Source organism: Homo sapiens, chromosome 8 (assembly GCF_000001405.40).
Source record: "Homo sapiens chromosome 8, GRCh38.p14 Primary Assembly".
Taxonomy (NCBI): Eukaryota; Metazoa; Chordata; class Mammalia; order Primates; family Hominidae; genus Homo; species Homo sapiens.
Window position 1 is genome coordinate 9,115,189 of NC_000008.11, and position 20,042 is coordinate 9,135,230.

General features: G+C 42.7%; 1 long non-coding RNA gene across 4 annotated transcripts, besides 2 other annotated features; it reads right to left on the reverse strand.

Annotated features, from left to right (window-relative positions):
• Nucleotides 1-484: 484 nt before the first annotated feature.
• LOC112268402 (uncharacterized) lies at nt 485-19,631 on the reverse strand. Of its 4 annotated transcripts, XR_007060805.1 has the most exons (4): nt 10,777-11,588; nt 5,657-6,609; nt 3,155-3,299; nt 485-1,218 (listed from the first exon to the last, which is right to left on the reverse strand). It is a non-coding gene; the product is annotated as an uncharacterized LOC112268402 (long non-coding RNA). The 4 variants fall into 4 exon arrangements; XR_007060803.1 differs by lacking the exons at nt 3,155-3,299; nt 5,657-6,609 and adding an exon at nt 18,881-19,631 and having other exon boundaries at nt 10,777-10,911; XR_007060806.1 differs by lacking the exon at nt 5,657-6,609.
• Nucleotides 16,461-16,961: an enhancer, noted in NCBI's record as "H3K4me1 hESC enhancer chr8:8989159-8989659 (GRCh37/hg19 assembly coordinates)". NCBI's record gives its function as "activates a minimal SCP1, AML or CMV promoter by ChIP-STARR-seq in naive H9 embryonic stem cells {active_cell/tissue: H9 hESC(naive)}" and the evidence as "EXISTENCE:reporter gene assay evidence [ECO:0000049][PMID:30033119]".
• Nucleotides 18,591-18,885: a silencer, noted in NCBI's record as "tiled region #9732; HepG2 Repressive non-DNase unmatched - State 21:Repr". NCBI's record gives its function as "represses a minimal TATA promoter and a strong SV40 promoter by Sharpr-MPRA in HepG2 cells {active_cell/tissue: HepG2}" and the evidence as "EXISTENCE:reporter gene assay evidence [ECO:0000049][PMID:27701403]".

Here is a 20,042-nt window from a genome sequence, read left to right on the forward strand (position 1 = left end):
TATCAGATGAAGTTGACTTTGAAACTAAAATTATTACCAGAGATAAGGAGGGACATTTCATAATGATAAAAGTATCAACTTATCAGGAAGACATAACAATTGTGTATGTGTATGGACCAAATAACAGAGCTTCCCAGTATAAGCATACCTTGTTTTATTGTGCTTTGCGGATACTGAATTTTTTACAAAATGAAAGTTTGTGGCAACCCTGCATCAAACAAGACTATCATCACCATTTCTCCAAATGCATGTGCTCACTTTGTGTCTCTGTGTCACATTTTGGTAATGCTTGCAATGTTTCAAACTTTTTCATTCTTTTTAGTGTAATACCATAAACCTTGAATAATATCATGAGATCCATATAGAGTGCCCCTAGTGACACTGAAATTGCTCCCAAGAAACAGAGAAAAGTCATGACATTACAAGAAAAAGTTGACTTGCTTGATCTGTACCATAGATTGAGCTCTGCAGCTGTGGTTGCCACCATTTCAGACAGATTATTCATCTTGTGAACAGGCAATGGAAACTTACGGTATCAATACATACAGTACAGTGCTGTAAATGTATTTTCTTCTCCTTATGATTTTCTTAATAACATTTTCTTTAGCTTACTTTATTATAAGAATATAGAATATAATACATATGCAAAATATATGCTAATTGACTGTTTATAGTATTGGCAAGGTTTCCAGTCAAAAGTCAACTATTAGTAGTTAAGTTTTTGAGAAGTCAAAAGTTATATGCAGATTTTTGACTGCATGGCGGGGGTCAGCCTCCGTAACTTTCACATTATTCAAGGGTCAACTGTAATAATAATTGCTTATGTATTCTTTGCAAGGCCCTGTGCTAAATGTTCCATAAACATTATCTCATTTGGCCTTCCCCCAAACCTTTACATTAGGGGCAAGTATTGTTCTCATTTTGCAAATCAGTGAGTTGAAACCTAAAGGGATCAAGTAAGTTGTCTCTCTGTCACACAGCTGAGTGTGTTTGGAAGCAAGACTAAAATCTAGATCTGCCTGACTTGAAGGCCCCTTTTCTTATCAGAATGTGGTAGATACAGGTTTTATCCATCCTTCCTCACAGACAAAAAGTAGCATGGTTCATGGTCATGTAAATACACACCCTGAATATTTACCCTTCTGATCACCTTGTGTAGAGGGAACATCCGCATCCAAGAGACGCCTGCAGTCCAGGGGGCTCCAGAGGGAGGGAGTCCTGTGGATGTGGAAGATACGCTTTTGTCTGAGAGTCATGAGATTGGACTGTGGGTCCCTGTTGTTGTTAACCCCTGTGTGATCTTGGGCAATTCACTGTTCCTGTCTTTACCTCTACTTGCTCCTCAGTAAGTCAGAGTGAACTGAGATCTCTTCCTGAAATTACTTAGCCTAATTCTATGGTTGGTTTCTGGTGGCCAGGAACCAGAAATAAATCTCTCAGCAAAATTTTGCTTATGGACCATGAATCTTAGAGTATCCATGGTATCACTGATATCTTTAATTCCCAGATATTTTCCAGTAATGAAATTCATATAATAAAGCCAGGATCTCTGGTTCTTAATGTGGTGTTCTCGAGATCTCTGACTCTGTCTAACCCCGCTTCCCCCAGATCTATCAAGTTTTAGTCCGTGCTGCTGGCCCGCCATTCCTTAGGAGTGCCTTGATCCTGGCCTGGTCACTTTTTTTTTTTTTTTCAATCATAAGGCACTAATTCCTACAAAGGGAGAAAACTCAAGGGTATGATAGTCATCCATCTTGGGAGGCTGTGCTCTGGAGTTGGGCAGCTTATGTTTCCCACCTACCAAAATTGTCTCCCTGCCTAATCTGTCCAAGGTGGGCAGAAAAGGTTGTTTCCATTTATGACTTCCTTGCGGAACTCAGTTTCCATGATGCCACTTCAGTACCACGCCTAGCCCTATATTAACAGCACGGTAGATTGGACACAGGGCCTCTTCTCCCAAGAATTCATCAATCCATAAGTTTTCATTAAGTAAATTAAACTAAGGCTCTTGCTAGTGCCTTCTTGGCACAAGAAACTTGTCAGTTTCTGGAATCTCTAAGGGTTCACATCTCCCCTCCCTCATCTCCATCTAGTCTTATTATTATTATTATTGAGATGGAGTCTCGCTGTGTCACCCAGGCTAGAGTGCAGTGGTGCGATCTCGCCTCACTGCAACCTCTGCCTCCTGGGTTTGAGCGATTCTCCTGCCTCAGCCTCCCAAGTAGCTAGGATTACAGGCGCCCGCTACCACAACTGGCTAATTTTTGTATTTTTAGTAAAGACAGGGTTTCATCATCTTGGCCAGGCTGGTCTCGTACTCCTGACCTCATGATCCACCCACCTTGGCCTCCCAAAGTGCTGGGATTACAGGCGTGAGCCACTGCACCCAGCCTGTATTATTTTTGTTTAAATAATTGTGCTGGAAAAATCATCCTGCTTGGGAAAAAAAAGAAGTAATGCAGGAAGAGGCATGGGGCCGACTCAGTGTGCTACGGCAGTCTTTTTGAGAATGACAGCTTGGGACACAGCCAATGGAAGAATTCACCTTCCTGATCTTCTCAGAAATGGCTTTAGAATGAGGTTATGGGCATAAAATATGCCTTCCTTTGGGCTCACTGCATAACTTTGGGGAGTGAATTTAACCTTGCAGTGGTCCAAGTGCAAATGTCCAAGGTGTTACTTCCCATAATTTTGTGACAATGAGAATTCTTGAAATACCAGGAGAGCCTTGCAAAAATAAAGTGACCTTGCAAAAGTGACATTTCTGGCCACTGCTGAAACTATAACAGGACTTAAAATGGAGCTTTCTTGTTTGTCATAAATTTATGGCCTCAATTTACTGTGAGACCGACCTCTCCAGTTGGTTCTGGGGGTGTCTAAATCACATGTCAGCATCTTACACACTGTGGGCCAGTGATGACGAGGGCTGGATTTTCACACATGGGAAGGCCAGGTGGCACCACTTTTGCTTATGACTTCCATTTACCATCTCCCTCTTTCCACTTCTCCTGCTGCTTGCGAGAACAGATCCACATTTGCTAACCTAGACCTCATGGGAGTTAGAGTTACCAAACAAGGAGAAGAAGGCCCTTAGCTTGGCAAAACTTCAAAAGTTTCTAGTTTCTAATCTAAAGGGGCAAAACTGTAGCCATACCTTGGAATGAAGACTGAAGTTTCCCCAGGACTGCTGAAGTCTCACCAATGGCTAATCAAATGTCAAATTTTCACAGCAAGAATTTTCCAGAAGGGGAACAGGTAACTGGATGTCAATTAAATTCCCTGGGCCTTAATTCTTTCATCTGTAAAATGAGGCAGTAGGAGTCACTGGTGTTCCACAGTTCTTTCTTGTGTCAGCTAGTCAGCTATGTAAGAGTCTTTTTATTCTTTTTTGTTGTTTTTTTTTTTTTTTTTTTTTTTTTTTAAATTTTTGAGACAGGGTCTCGCTCTGTCACCCAGGCTGGAGTGCAGTGATGTGATCTCGGCTCACTGCAGCCTTGACCTCCCAGGCTCAAGCGATCGTCCCACCTCAGCCTCCCGAGTAGTTGGGAGGGACCACAGGCATGCACCAACATGCCCGGGTAATTTTTAAATTTTTTTGTGGAGACAGAGTTTCACCATGTTGACCAGGCTGGTCTCGAACTCCTGGGCTCAAACAATCTGCCTGCCTTGGCCTCCTAAAGTGCTGGGATTACAGGCATGTGCCACTGCACCCAGCTGTCTTTTTATTCTATTGCATTCAAGTATTATTGCCAAAGGCTGATGTTACCTAAAATTAGCCATTTTATTACTATTTTTTTTGGCTAAAAAAAAAATCTCCAGTTCTCTTCCCCCTTCACACTATAAAATACAATGATTAGTAAAAGCTCATGACTTCTATCTTGCTCTAGCTCAGCAAACAACAGGAGGCTTTCATCCTCCTATGGATATATTTCAGATCTCTTCACTGATTTTTCTTAGGTGTCTATAGTATCTTGGGAGGGTTTCTATTCCAAGCTAACCCTATATTCTCTAAAGACCTACCCAAATATTCTAGCTTTAACTTCTCAGCAAAGTTCTATTCTTGTACTTCCAGTTGCCCATAGGGAATTTTCACTTGGAAAGAACATCTCATCATAAGACAGTTAACAGATATTTTTGAGTGGCTATGGTATATCCATCATTATGAGTAATCTAGAAGAAACATTAGACATTGCCTCTGTTCTTTTTTTTTTTTTTTTTGAGACAGAGTTTCGCTCTTGTTGCCCAGGCTAGAGTGCAATGGCTCAATCTCAGCTCACTGCAACCTCTGTCTCCCGGGTTCAAGGGCTTCGCTTCTCCTGCCTCAGCCTCCTGAGTAGCTGGGATTACAGGCGCCCGCCACCACGTGCAGCTAATTTTTTGTATTTTTAGTAGAGACGGGGTTTCACCGTGTTAGCCAGGATGGTCTTGATCTCCTGACCTCAGGTAATCGACCAGCTTTGGCCTCTCAAAGTGCTGGGATTACAGGCGTGAGCCACCGCACCCAGCCACCTCTGTTCTTAAGAAACTTAAATTACAACGGAGGAAAAAACAAATATATTCATCCAGGAAACACTTGTTGAGGATCTATTTATGTGAGATACTTTAAAGTCTGATAGGAAATGTCACCATGTATCTCAATTTGCCAGGAACTGTCTTATTTATACCTGTTGCATTGGTGTATTATAAATAGCAATCCTTCTGACCTTCAAAAATGCCCTAGTTTGTGTGGCAGATTAGAAGATTGCTTTGATGCTGGGAAGTGATAGGGCCCTGATAACCTCATCCACTAGAGTCAGGTCAACGGAGAAGATTACCATAGCAACTAAGGACCATTATGTTAACAGAAACAGATATTATCACAACCTGGATATGTTTGTAATTTGGATGAGGCAGTCTCATTCATTACCTGAGATATTTCTAGAAGCTGTATTCATGTTGTTGGTTAATCTAATGGAAAGTGTTATCTTCTCCAGCTTACAATTCTGATCAGCATCTATGCCTCTGGGATAGGCTTAGCCTATGCTGAGACAGGTCAGATCTCATGTCTATGGGGAATGGACCAAGGAGAAGCCTTAAAGAGTGCGCAGGCCAGGTGTGGTGGCTCACGCCTGTAATCCCAGCAGTTTGGGAGGCCGAGGCGGGCAGATCATTTGAGGCCAGGAGTTCGAGACCAGCCTGACCAACATGGTGAACCCCATCTCTACTAAAAAATATAAAAAGTTAGCTGGGCGTGGTGGCACATGCCGGTAATCCCAGCTACTCGGGAGGCTGAGGCAGGAGAATTGCTTGAACTTGGGAGACAAGTGAGCCGAGATCACGCCACTGCACTCCAGCCTGGGAGACACAGCGAGACTCCACATGAAGAGAAGGGACCTGAAGTCTCATGAGCTCAGTTCCATAATCATGCCTGGGTGGCTACTCCATGCTGGGCACTCCTCTAGTCAACAGGGCAGAAGGAATTTTATGAGCAGAGCCTGGAGGTGGGAAATAGCATGGGGTGTGTGGGGCCCACCAAGCAACTTGGCATTGGTGGACGTCTACAGTGTGTGGCAGTGGCCAGCAGGGGATGTGCTATGGGAATAGGCAGAGGCCAGACGATGGAGAACCTACATCAAGAAACATCGTGCTTTTTTAAAGCTTGGAAATGAAAAGATACCTCAGATGTGGCTCTATCCAAAGGGCTCTGCCTGCCTTGGCAGCCACCACACCTGCAGCAAGACGATCCGTTTTTCAGCGCGTCTGCTGATCCCTGAACACCTCTCTGCCCCCTCCAGGGCTCTGTCCAGGTGTATGTTACTCATATTTGCAGATTCAGTGCTGATGAGACAGTTTCTGGAGACCCAGGACAAACAATGCTGGCTGGAAGAGCCAACCCTGGCCAGTCAGCCCCTTGTTTGGCAGCACTTCCAGGTGCTACAGAAGAACTGGTGCAGCAAGGACGATTGATTCGTGTGGGTCAAAGTAGGGGTGTTGATGTTCTTCCGGAATGTGCAGCAGTTGCTGATAATATTGGCTGACACTGAAGATCCTGCCAATTTCTTTAATCTTCCTTACTGCTGGTAGACTTGAATGGTCCAAAAGGCCATGTATACCAGCCTGGAGTGCTACCCCGAAACCACTGGATCTTGAACTCCCTGCCACTCTGAACGGCAATGCACAAAGCAGGTGATCTTATTTATACTGGCAACATAAGTTCTTGGTAACAGGGGCAGAGCAGTATGGTTTGGTGCCTAACACAGGAAGTTAAAAAATAAAAATAATAAAAGGAAAGAAAGGGGGGAAAAAATGCTCCTATCAGTGTGGAATGGGCAAGTAGAACCCACCAAAAAGGTAAAATGTGAAACTAGCAGGAAGAACTGTCTCCAATTGCATGAGAAGAACATGCCAACAAAAGACAATTTTTCAAAGATAATTGTTAAGAAACACATTGCCAAGAACTTTAAAAATCAAGTACAAGCCAGGCATGGTGGCATGTGCCTGTGGTCCCAGCTACTTGAGAGACTGAGGCAGGAGGATGGCTTAAGCCCAGAGTTTAACACTGTAGTGTGCGATGATCATGCCTGTGAATAGTCACTGCACTCCAGCCTGGGTGACATAGCAAGACCCCACCTGTGAAAAAAAAAAAAAAAAAAATCATGTGCAGACATTTGTTTTCCAGTTTGCTAGACACCAGCACTTGAAGAAATATCTCTTTTAGGATGAAGAGATGTTTTTCCTAAAGTTGTATGAAACAGCTTTTCCTCTGTACTAACTCACTTAAACATGAATGAGTCTTAAATTATTACTTTTTCTTCTCTATTGCAAGAGTCTCACTGGTGTTCATTTCCTGAAGAGTCAACGATGAACTAAGGGCGTGTGGGAGGCATTCTCCTCCTTTGAGGACTGTAGAGATGCCGATAGATAGAAATAATCTTGAACAAAAAGGTCCATGAGGTTATTGGACTGATTTATGGTCCATTCTAGGTCATGTGCATGCCAAGTCTATCTTTTTCATCCAAAATGCCTCCATGAGTATGTTCTGAACTGGGATCCTGGGGCTCATATGATTATGACTATTTTTTAACTGTGACTCTCACCGTAGAGAACACTCCAATTTAACATGCCCGTTTATGAAGTTCAACTCATGATTAATTGTCATTTACACCAGCGCTACTCAAAGTGTGGGTCTCTGATGCTTGAGGAGCGTGGTGCAAACTGTAAATCAACATACTGCTTTCTTCATGGAGAAAGTCAGGCACTAAAAACCTGTCCGCTAAACTACAGTGTGCTTGGTGAGGCGGTTGACACACATTATGGTGCAAACTTCACCTCTTGATGTGGCAAGGTAACCGTCTGCAGACCAACGTCTGTCTACAGACTGCACTTTGAGGCACTCTGACATATACTTGACATATATTTACATCATCTTTATAATCTATAAGATGCAATCTATAATTATTAATCTGTCTCAATTTTAAAAAGATTATTTTGAAACAATTTCGAATGTATAGAGAAGTTGCAAGACTACTACAAAAGACTCCTGCATGCCTTTCTTTCTTTTCTTTTTTTTTTTAATTTATAATTTTTTTTTCTTTTATAGAGATGGGGTCTTGCTATGTTTACCAGGCTGGCCTCGAACTCCTGGTCTCAAGCATTCCTCCCATCTCAGCCTCCCAAAGTGCTGGGATTACAGGCATGAGCCACCATACCCGGCCCCCGTATGCCTTTCATTCAGACTCCTTTCAAGTTTTACTCATGATGTGCTTGCTACCAATGGGTCCAAATTATGATCCTATGATCTAGCCTCTTTCTATCTGGATCCTTCTCTGAGTTCCATGCTCTTGACCTTTATGAAGGTTACATTTTGTAGAATGATTCTCAAGTTGGGTTGTCCTCTGCTTTTTCATGGTTAGACCAGGTCACGCCTTTTGGACAAGAATGTCACAGAAGTGATGCAGTGGTCTCACTGCCCACTATCAAATAGCCCATGATGCTATTTTGCCCCATTGGTGATGGTAACTTTGATTGCTTGATTAAGATGGTGTCTGCCCCATCTTTTTTCTTTTGTAGTTAATAAGTATTATGTAAATATTCCATTATTCATTCCATTTTTACCTCCTTGTTTTAGAACTCATTGATGTTTCTTGCTGGAATTAATTATTACTGTGATGTTTGCCAAATGGTAATTTTCTAATTGTATTATTCCCCTTACATTAATAAATCGGCATACTATTGTAAGGAAGAACTTTTGTACCTCCCGTTTTTACAAACAAATGTGTTATCATCCATTCTATTCTTCTATTATTCAATGGGTTACAAACCTTACTCTCATTAATTACTTTGATGTTCATGTAGACCCAGATTTTGACAGTTGGTTTCCTATGAAGCTGGATTCTGCACCTTTTGCCATGTGCCTCTCATTCTTTGAGAACTTCCTCACAAAAAGCCCTTCAAGGATATCTGGTGCTTTTTCTGTTCCAGGTCTGGATCAGCCAGTTCTTTGAGGAGCCTTAGTTCCTTTTCATGGAGAGTGATATTTAGAAGCCAAGATCTAGATGCAAAGTAGGCCCTTTGCTACTAGAGTTGTTGCTTCCCTGGGCCCTCTCAGTGGACAGAATTAGGAAATAGATGTATTTTTATCCGTCCATATATGCAAACACACAAAGGTGTGTATATACACATACACCTTTACATCTATACTTCTGTCTTGACGTCTTGGGGTTGCATCATCCTTAGTATGTTTGTTTACTGGCCCCTGTAGGTAGCCATTCTCTCGACTACATGAGGGGCCTCTCACCCTGCTCTGAATCTGTCCTCATAATTGTTGCCATTGCCAGGTGCCACCAGCTGCTTCTGCCACCTTGCTCCAATACCACTCTTGCCAGGCCACTGTCACCTCCCTTTCTTGTGCCTGCTCAGTGACTCTTGGGCTGAATTAGGAAAGAGAGGAAGGAAGCCAGATTTTTGTTTCTTAATTAGAAGAAGAAGTAAGCAAAGGCTACACTGAGATTACCTGCCAAGATTACTCCTTTGTTTCACCTTAGGAGACAGATAAGACAGCCTGTCTGTCGGGACGATATCAACATTGAAATGAAAGGGTCTTCCATATCTCTAAGTCTACTTCAGGATGGTAATCATGGCCAGAAGGGTGGGAGGGATGGTGCTTGTGCATCCTGCAGTGCACGTCAGCCTTGGTTTTTGCAGCGGGAATAAGGCTATCAGTGCTGGGTTTAATGTCGCTAAATCAGCAGAATGCTTGTCAACTCGTCTAGACATGCATCATGCCTGATGAAAGAAGATGAAAAAATAGAACATTGGTTTTTCTGGCAAGGGGCATTTGGAAACGTGGGGGTGTTATGCATTGTCACAATGCCTGGGGCCCACTGACATTTGGTGAGCAAGAGCCAGGGATATAAATGCTCTGTAGTGCACAAGGCAGTCCTGCATGACAACGTCTTGTCCCACTCAAATGCCACTGGAGCCCCCTCTAAGAGATACAAACAGGTGCTCACCCACAGGGGTACAGTTTGTAATGCTTTAATGCCATTACTGCTGTCATGTTTGTGAGGGAACATGGTCTCCAGCCTCCACCAGATGGGAGCAAAATAACCATAACTACCAGAAATAGAAGTGATTGTAGTAACTGCTTCCACATATTCTAGATACCCACCCACTGTGTGCAGTTATGAGTGAAACTGTGGCAGCTTTGTGAATCCCATAGGCCTGATCTTGGTCCTAATGGGCAGCATGACATTGGAATAAAACTCAAGACATTAAGTGATCCTGTGTTTTGCCCGCTGTTGAAATTAGCAACTGGAAAATAAACGTGTTTCTATGATCAAGGATGACTGGTTACCTTTTATGAGCTCACACATCCAGTCACTTGGTCAAGGAGTACTTGCTTGCACTTCCAAATTGATTGTAAGCTCCTTGAGGGCAAGAGGCAGTATGGCAGGCTTATGTAATTACCCACAGTGTCTTGCAATTAGTAGGTGACTACTAGCCGGTGACAAGGTTTGATTTTTCCCAGCTGGACCATTAACCATAACACTGGGTAAGGGCTCACATCTATTTTTCTACAGTGTTCCAACACCTCACTAATTCATATTTTAGATAGGGCTGAAATCCGTAAATTTCTGAACTGGTTAAGCAAGGCAGAAGCAGCAAAGCCCTTTTTTCTTTCACCTACTCTCTCTCCCTCCCTGCCTCTGATTTATAGGCTGACAGAAGTGGATGCAAGAATGACTTCCGTGTATGTGGGCAAATGACCCTACTGCTGAATCGTGCTACTTTAAGCTCAGAGCTGAAGAGCAGGACATCCAGGCTTGGGAGGACAGCAAGGGTCATAGGTGTAGGCTGGCTTCTGCCATGAACTCTCTGTTCAATGTTCAGCAAGTCTTCTAACCTCTCTGGGCCTCATTGTCTGGATCTATAAAATCGGGAGGTTGGACCTCACGATCTCTTCACATCTGTGGTTCTACAGTTTTTTGTCTTGGACCTCATGAAAACTATGAAGCATGGCCACATCCTGAACAATAGGCAAAGTGATAAGGAAATGTCACAAGGATGGCAAAGTGACAGGGAAAACAGAGTGAAAAGTGTGTCCTATGATAACACTGGAAAGACCATTCTCTGGCCACAGTTCAAACCTCTCTTTCTCAATGAGTTTTGTCTTTTGTCTTTTTCTTTTTCTTGTAATTACAGGAAGAATAGCGAACAGCACTTATAGCTGCTGCTTTCCTAGCTAAGAGGATAAGCCAGGCTCAGGCTCTGGTGGTGGAGAGATGGTCTATTTACCTCAGATTTACTTCCAGACCACAGGAATCCCACATTTGTCCAAGACCTCTTTCTTTTCTCCCGTGGAAGGAGGGCTGCAATGGCTGGACAATTCCACTCTCAGCAACCTCTTCTGGTCTTTGAAATTCTGATCTCCTTTTAACAAAGTACAGTGAGAAGTAATTTAGACTAAATGACTTGATACCTGTATTTCCTGATACTTTATTTTTCTTTCCATGACTATTTTAATTCCTGAAAAGTGGAAAAGTACTTTCTCCATCATTTCTCATTTTTCCCTTTTCCCTTAAAAACATAACTCTGCATTTATTGTAAACTATCTTAAATCGACTTTGGAAGTGATTTGAAAATAAATTGTAAAATAACAGTGCTGTAGGTGTCTAATATGCTTTGTGTTGTAGTCAAGAGAATAAAGCAGTAGACACATTTAGTAGCAAATATCTGAAGTAGAAGGGACATGAGAGAATATTTAAATCACTGTTTTTCAAATTGCAGGTTGTAGCCCATTAGTGGGTCCTGAAATCAATTTAATGAGTTGCAACCAGTATTTTTTAAAAATAATATAGAATAGAGTAGAAAATACCAGAGTAATCACACATAAAAAAGGTTTGTTAATGAAGCGTTTGTTTAGGCAAGTTCTGACTTGCCTAAAATATCAAAGCTGTTAGAAACTACAAAAAACAGAACAAGAACTTTGCACAGGAGACGAGAGCATTTTATTTTACTAAGAATTAGTTTATATGATTGGTTATTGTGATGTCCCTTTTAATTTAGAAAGGGTCTTTGCAAAATCCACTGAGAAAAACAGTTGATTAAATATTTATTGAGTGTTCAAATGTATGAGAAAGTGTGCAAAAATATTTAATGAAAATACTACTTATTACGTCCTGTAACTAATAAAGATATTCAACTATAATTTAAAAGCTCCCAAAAAGGAAATTTCTAGGCCCAGAAGGTTTCCATGGTGAATTCCATTGAGCATTTAAATAAAATTTTTTTCTTTTTTTTTTTGAGGCGGAGTCTTGCTCTGTCGCCCAGACTGTAGTGCAGTGACACCATCTCGGCTCACTGCAAGCTCCGCCTCCCGGGTTCACGCCATTCTCCTGCCTCAGCCTCCCGAGTAGCTGGGACTACAGGCACCCACCACTACGCCCAGCTAATTTTTTTGTATTTTTAGTAGAGACGGGGTTTAACCGTGTTAGCCAGGATGGTCTCAATCTCCTGACCTCGTGATCCGCCTGCCTCGGCCTCCCAAAGTGCTGGGATTACAGGCATGAGCCACCGCGCCCGGCGAAAATTTAACAATTTTACACAATTTCTTCCTGAAAACAAAAGGGGAGGGAATGCTTATCACTTCATCTTATGAGGCTAGTATTACACTGATACAAAAAAAAAAAAAAAAAAAAAGACTAATATGGCTTACAAACTTAGATACAAAAATCCCCAACAAAATATTAGCAAATCAAATCTAGAAGTATATTAAAAGACTTAAACACCATGACAAAATTTATTTCAAGTATGCAAATTTAGGTCAATATTTAAAAAATCAATCCATATAATCCGCTGCAAAGAAAGAAAAAATCACACAGTTATATCAATTGACACAGAAAAAGCATTCGACAAAAGCCAACACGTACTCATGATAAAAACTCTCAGCAAACTAGGAATAAAGGAAATCTTCTGTAGCTTGATAAAGAGTAGCTATTAAAAGCCTACAGGTAACATCATGCTTAATGGTGAAAGACTGCTTCCTGTCTAAGGTTAGAAACAAGGCAAGGATGTCTACTCTCACCACCCTTATTCAACATGGTGCTAGAAACTCTAGCTATTGCAAGAGTGCAAGATAAATAAATGAATACTGTAAAGATTGGAAAGGAAGAAATTAAACTGCCCCTGTTTTCAGACGACATGATTATCTACATAGACAATCTCAAGTAATCTGTGAAAACTCCTAGAATTAATAAGTGAATCCAGCAACCTTGCAGGATATAAGATTGACACATAAAAATTAATTGCATTTCTATTTATAAAAATGAACATCCAGAAACCAAAATTAGAACACAACATAAGTCACTCCAAATAAAATGAAATACTTATGTGAAGGATTTCTGTACTGAAAATAACAAAATGCTTATTAAAGAAATTAAAGAATATCTAGATAAATGGAGAGACATACTATGTTTATGGATTAAAAGACTAAATGTAGAAAAAGGTCAATTCTTCCCAAATTGATCGACAGATGTAATCCAATTTTTTTTTTTTTTTTTTGAGACGGAGTCTCGCTGTCGCCCAGGCTCGAGTGCAGTGGCGCCATCTCGGCTCACTGCAGGCTCCGCCCCCCGGGTTCACGCCATTCTCCTGCCTCAGCCTCGTGATCCGCCCGCCTCAGCCTCTCAAAGTGCTGGGATTACAGGCGTGAGCCACCGCGCCCGGCCAGATGTAATGCAATTTTGATCAAAACCCCAGCAACAGTTTTTGTAGACAGAGACAAGGTTACTCTAGAGTTTATATGAAAAGACACAAATTCTAGAATTTAAAAAAAATCTTGGGGCTCCCAGCACTTTGGGAGGCCGAGGAGGGCGGATCACGAGGTCAGGAGATCGAGACCATCCTGGCTAACACGGTGAAACCCCGTGTCTACTAAAAGTACAAAAAATTAGCCGGGCATGGTGGCGGGCGCCTGTAGTCCCAGCTACTCGGGAGGCTGAGGCAGGAGAATAGCGTGAACCCTGGAGGCGGAGCTTGCAGTGAGCTGAGATCGCGCCATTGCACTCCAGCCTGGGTGACAAGGCAAGACTCCATCTCAAAAAAAAAAAAAAAAAAAAGAATAAAGTGTGAGGAATTACTCTATCTCATATTAGGTTTTACTATATAGCCACAGTACTCAAGATATTATGGTATTGTTCAGGGATAGGTATATACATAATTGAAACAGAATAGAGAACCCATAAATTAACCTATATAAATATGAAAGAACCCATAAATAAACCTATGTAAATATCTCCAGCTGCTTTCTGACAAAGACGCAAAAGAAAGCCTTTTCAACAAATGGTACTGAAGTAAGTGGACATGTATAGGCAAAAAAATAAACCTCAACCCAAACCTCTCACCTTATCAAATTTAACTCAGAATGCATCATATTTGTAAATTTAAAATGTAAAACTATAAAACTTTTGGAGGACAGCAAAGGAAAAAATCTTTGAGATGTAGGCCTAGGCAAAGAGTTCTTATACTTGACATCAGAAGCGTGATCCCACAAAGGAAAAAATAGATAAAAAGTAAACTTTACTATGAGAAAGTCCATGTGAGGAGAATGAAAAGGCAGGCTACAGACTGAGAGAAATATTTTCAAATAACACATATGACAAAAGACTAGCACCTGGAATATACAAAGATCTCTCAAAACTCAATAGTGAAAGAAAAAAACCCCAGTCTACTTAGAAAATGGGCCAAAGACATACATACATTTCACTAAATAAGATATACATTCGGCAAAGAAGCACACAAAAAGCTTTGGCATAATTAACCACTGAGGTAATGTAAATTAAAACCACGATGAGATGTTACTACATGCCGTTCAGAATTGCTAAAATAAAAAGTAGTCACAACAGTGGTCAGGTGTGGTGCATACCTATAAGACTGTGTGAGCCCAGGAGTTCAAGTTCAGCCTGGGCAACATAGTGAGACTCTGCCTCTAAATAAATAAATAAAAACAGTGACAACACAAAAAGCTGACGAGGATGCAGAGAAACCGGATACGTTACTGGTGGCATTGTAAAATAGTATAGCCACTCCAGAAAATAGTTTGGCAGTTTCTTATAAAACTAAACATGAGACTGCCATAAACCCAGAAATTTCACTCTTGAGCATCCATCCCAGAGAAATGAAAAATGTGTATTTGCACAAAAAGCTGTACATGAATGTCCATAATAGCTTTATTCATAATAAACCCAAACTAGACACAACTCAAACGCTCATCAGTATATTATTAATCTGTACTGTGGAATAGTCCTCAGCAATGAAAAGGAACAAACTGTTGATACATGGACCAACTTGGATGAATCTCCAGGGAAATAAACTGTGGGGAAAGCCAATCCTCAAAGTTTACATGTAGGATTCCACTTATATAACATTCTTGAACTGACAAAATGAAAGAAATGGAGAACAGATTCGTGGTTGCCAGGGTCAAGGACCATGGTGGGAGTGGGGTGGGGGAGGAGAAAAGCCAGGGAGAGGAGAGGAGCTGTGGTTACAAAGGACATGAAAGATCCTTGTGGTTCTATATCCTGACTGGGGCCGGGAGCAGTGGCTCATGCCTGTAATCCTAGCACTTTGGGAGGCTGGGGCAGGAGGGTCACTTGAGTCCAGGAGTTTGAGACCAGCCTGGGTAATGTGGCAAAATCCCATTTACATTAAAATATATATATATATATACAAAACATTAGCAGGCATGGTGGCACACACTTGTGGTCCCAGCTACTTGGTAGGCTGAGGTGCGAGGATTGCCTGGGCCTGGGAGGTTGAGGCTGCAGTGAGCCATGATCGCATCACTACACTCCAGCCTGGGTGACACTGAGACCCTCTCTCTCAAAAACAAAGTAAAAAGTATATCCTGACTGGATTAACGTCAATATCCTGGTTGTGATACTGTATTCTAGTTTTGCCTGATGTTACCACTGGGGAAAACTGAGTCAATGTTACATGGAACCTGTCTGTATTATTTCTTAAAACTGCATGTGAATCTGCCATTATTTCAAAACAACAGTTTAAATTGTAAAAAGGAAACATGAGGACTCTCTGGTCTTAGATGCAAGCAAATGGAGTAAAAAATGTATAATTTGGGCAAAGACTAAAGTAACTATTGGAGGATTCTAAATAGCTTGGTGACAATGACATGCTATCTCTTTCTACATGCCCATAGAGTACTTATTCCCAGTCATACCCTTGCCCATAGAGGCACTCAATAATTTTGTCTTATGTGTTATATTAGTGTGGAATAGACGTTGCCCTGTCAAGCAGTTTAATGTATGAATGTAAATATAAATCACATATATATAATAGGCAGCTCAAGTGTGGTTCTGTGTGAACAAGCCAATTTTTTTTTTTGTGAAAGGACATGATACGTATCCTTGAGAACAGAAGGAAAACATAACCAGAGTCCACATTTATTTTGGGGTCCACAGCTGTGTTTCCTTCCCATGCAGGTTTTGCTTGTTCACTTGCTTTTGCCTTTTTCTATAGGATATCCTTCAACCACATTCATTAGCCTAGGAGGCGGGAGAGTGGAATTCCTGTGTGGGAAGGAAAGGGTTTACACCCGTATTTCTGGGGCCCTAGGGCTCTCAGGAGATGCTTCAGGGAGGGGGGAAATGGGTGCGATTTCTATCTTGGGCGGCCTATTTTCTTTTTTTTCTTTTTCTTTCTTTTTTTTGAGACGGAGTCTTGCTCTGTGGCCCCAAGGCTGGAGTGCAGCGGTGCAATCTCGGCTCACTGCAAGCTCCGCCTCCCGGGTTCACGCCATTCTCCTGCCTCAGCCTCCTCAGTAGCTGGGATTACAGGAGCCCGCCACACGCCTGGCTAATTTTTTTGCATTTTTTAGTAGAGACGGGGTTTCACCATGTTAGCCAGGATGGTCTCGATCTCCTGACCTCGTAATCCGCCCGCCTCAGCCTCCCAAATTGCTGGGATGACAGGCATGAGCCACCGCGCCCGGCCCTGTTTTCTACCTACTTGTCCATGGCTTCACATTGGATTTGATTTAAGAACACATTCCATGTCTTCATAAAATGTTAGAAAACCACCAGCGGCTCATGTCTGAGTTCAGCTGCACAGGACTGAGGTTGCAGCTGGAGACCTGGGCCTCTGCATTCCCTGTCTGGTGGAGGGAGTGCAGAGGCTGAGATGAGGCGTGAGTGGTGTCCTGGAGGGCTGGAATGAGTGCCCCCTGTCATTGTCTGTCTGGCTTCTGCCACTGACAGCAGAATGTCACTTATTCAGTGTTGCTTGCCCAGGGAGGACAGAGTGTGTCCTGCCTTACAGAAGGCCTGGGGCAAAGCCATGACATTTCAAAGTGGGAAAATCAACCAGGATGAGAGGGACTTTTTTCTGGAGAAAATACTGTTTAAAAAATGTTTGTTTTCAAAGTCTGTGTGTGTAATATAGTGTGTGACCAATAGAAGCGACGAGAGCCCAAGGTGGTGAGGTGATTGATCAATTGATGAGAAAAGCCCCTGGAAAATTTGTGTGAACAAACACTTAGTTGCATGAGCAAACGTGCAAAGCAGTGTTCAAAAAGATCTTATGAAAATATTTGGGAGATGGGAGGTGGCAGTTTCAGTGAGCCAAGATTGTGCCACTGCACTCCAGCCTGGGTGACAGAGTGAGACTCTATGTGAAAACAAAAACAAAAAACAAAAATTAGGAGAATTCTTTCAGTAATAGGTTCAATAAATAATTGACTAATGATGAAGAATTAATATAATAATTTATAATAAAATGGTGTAATGATAATAAAATCAGTGAAATTTCAACTGGCTAATTCCACACTCAGATGAGACCAAGATGTTGACCAGAAGGCAATCCACACAGTGACTCTGGAAGGGAGCCCGTCTGAAGCAGTGACCGGTTTTTCTTCCTGATCAGCTCTAGCAGTGCAGGTGGTGATGTGTGATATTCGGATGGATGCTGGAAAACTAACCCTCCTCTGGTGGTGAAGAGTTCCACTTTGATATGTCTGGGGATTCCTGAAGCCTTTCCAGGACCCTTCAGCACTAATGTTAGGGTCCTCGGCATTACAGACCCACCTTCAGCATGGGAGTAACGGTAAATACCAGCGGGAGGAGGCAACAGAGGTGAAATGGAAGAGCATGTGTGCCTGCCCCTCGTGGTGCCACCAGGAAAGCAGGGGGTCTTCAGGGCCAGGGCCCAGAGAGAGCACTTCAGAGATGAATTTCTACCTCCTTGGTCTCCTGCGGTGCTTAATTAAGGCCTCTTGAACTTGCTGGGCTAGAGAAAGATGAGCTGAGACCCTGGAGTTAGTTAAATTCCTAGGAGCGCTTTGATGTTACTTTCTGGGGACTTGGGTTTTGGAATACTGCAAGATCCGACCTCAATGTCTCTGTCCACAATGAGCAGCTTCCTCGGGAGCCTGGCCAGCCTCGATTTGTTGGGCACGGGGGAGAGGTGGAGGAAAAGCACTGGTAGGAAATAAGCCCAAACCATGAATCACCCCTTTCCTCCTAAAGAAGCTACTGTTAAGAGTGAATTGGCTGAAATTTCCAGAGGGCTTTTGGCCACCAGCACTACAATTAGGAAAGAAAACCAAGCGATAAAAACAAATCTAAACCACAGACTAAATCACCACTCCATGATAACCCATCCAAAAAGAGCACAATCCAGCCAGAACTGATTCCCGGCACAAGACCAGCCTGGTCTTTCCGAGCTCTGGAGAGGTCTAAGAAGATCCCAGAGGAGAGGTGAGCTCGGACAGGGATCGTGCTGTCAGGTTTGCCCAAGGTGTTCCTAGTGTACACCGGGTGCTCCTGGCTAACTCACAGGAGCCTCATTCATTCTCGAAAGCGTCCCAGTTTAGATCATAAATTATATGATCATCTTAAAAAGAAAAGAAAGCAAGCCACTGAAAATAACCTGCGGCCTCAAGACTTCAGCAAGTCGGCTCTCAATTCTCTTCCTATGTGACTCTTGCTTGGGGCTGGCGAACCATGGCCTGAGGGACAAAGTCTGCCCTGGTCCTGCTTTAGTATGGCCCACGAGCTAAGAACGGTTTTTACATTTTTAAAGGGCATTTAAATAAAAACAAATATGTGACAGAGACCACAAGTGGCCCGCAAAACCTAAAACATTCACTACCTAGTTCTTTACAGGAAAAGGTTGCCGACCCCCAACCCGGCCACTTGATCTTGTAGCTTTGGGTAGAGGGCTGAGATCTTGGATCATTATTGATGCCTTTGGCCCCAGAGAATTTTGACGATTCTGTATCCTCATCCTACCTTTGCCAAATCCAAGGCCCAGCCCCGGGTCCCCCAGTGCTAGAGAGGCAAAGTAGTGTTTGTGGAATGAACAACATCAATGCAAGCATGTCACTTACCAGAGAATCCCATGCAGAAAGCAAAAGGCATCTGTTGAGTTTCCCTCTCTCTCTTCTCCTCCAAGGGGAGGTGACAAGAAGGAATGAGGTTTACTTAAAGCCTTTCCGTGCCACACAGGGTTTCTATTCTGGTGGAAGGGAATGCTGCGGCCAAGAATTCGGCCTCTCTCCTGGAATGCCCCTGCAGCCACGGTTCCTTGGTGGTTTCCTTCCACCAATTTAGCCTGAGGTTTAATCAGGCCCTCGTAGACCCACATCATTTCATTCTAACTTTCATACTTCTACACGGTCTGTGGTCCTAGTACGTGCTGAGGAAGCCCTTGGGAGGAATGCAGCTTTTCCTGTAGAAAAATGATTATGTTCACTCCTTTCCTGGAAACTGTATCTCTCCAGCATGGGGGACAACTTTTGAGAATCATCATCTTGGTCTCTCAGTTCTATGAGATTGATTCTGGTTCACAGGGACAGTTCTTGGAACAAAGACTTATGTCGTCCTCCTGGCTCAGTCACTGATGGGCTCTGGGACTTGAAGAAACTCACTCAGGGCCTTTGTCTCTCACTCTCTCGCTCTTTCTTTGTTTTTTTTTTTTTTTTTTTTTGGTGACAGAGTCTCACACTGTTGCCCAGCCTAGAGAGCAGTGGTACAATCACAGCTCACTGAAGCCTCGAACTCCTGATTCAAGTCATCTTCCTGCCTCAGCCCCCTGAACAGCTGGTATACAGACACGGTACCACACCCAGCTATTAAATTTTTTTTTTTTTAAGAGATGGGGTCTCACTATGTTGCCCAGGCTGGTCTCGAACTCCTAGCCTCAAGCTATCCTCCCAAGGTGCTGGGATTGCAGATGTGAGCCACTGTGCCCAGCCACCTTCCTCTCTTTACCCATAAAAAGAGAGCTCTGTGATATTTCTTCCAGCCCAGTCACTGAGGATGTGATGAAGTCCAAGCAAGTGTCTGGAATGTGATTCACTCCCGTGATTCCTGGAGAGGACACAAATAGTGTACAAGGTACTTCTTATGAGAGTCTATATTTAGAAACCTCTTAAAAATGAACATGTTGGCTGACTCTCAAAAGCATTCAGGGCACTGCTAGAGCCCCTGGTTACCTTATTCCTACTAAACATGCTCAGGGCCCCTTCAGTAGAGCCACTGACAGGAGAT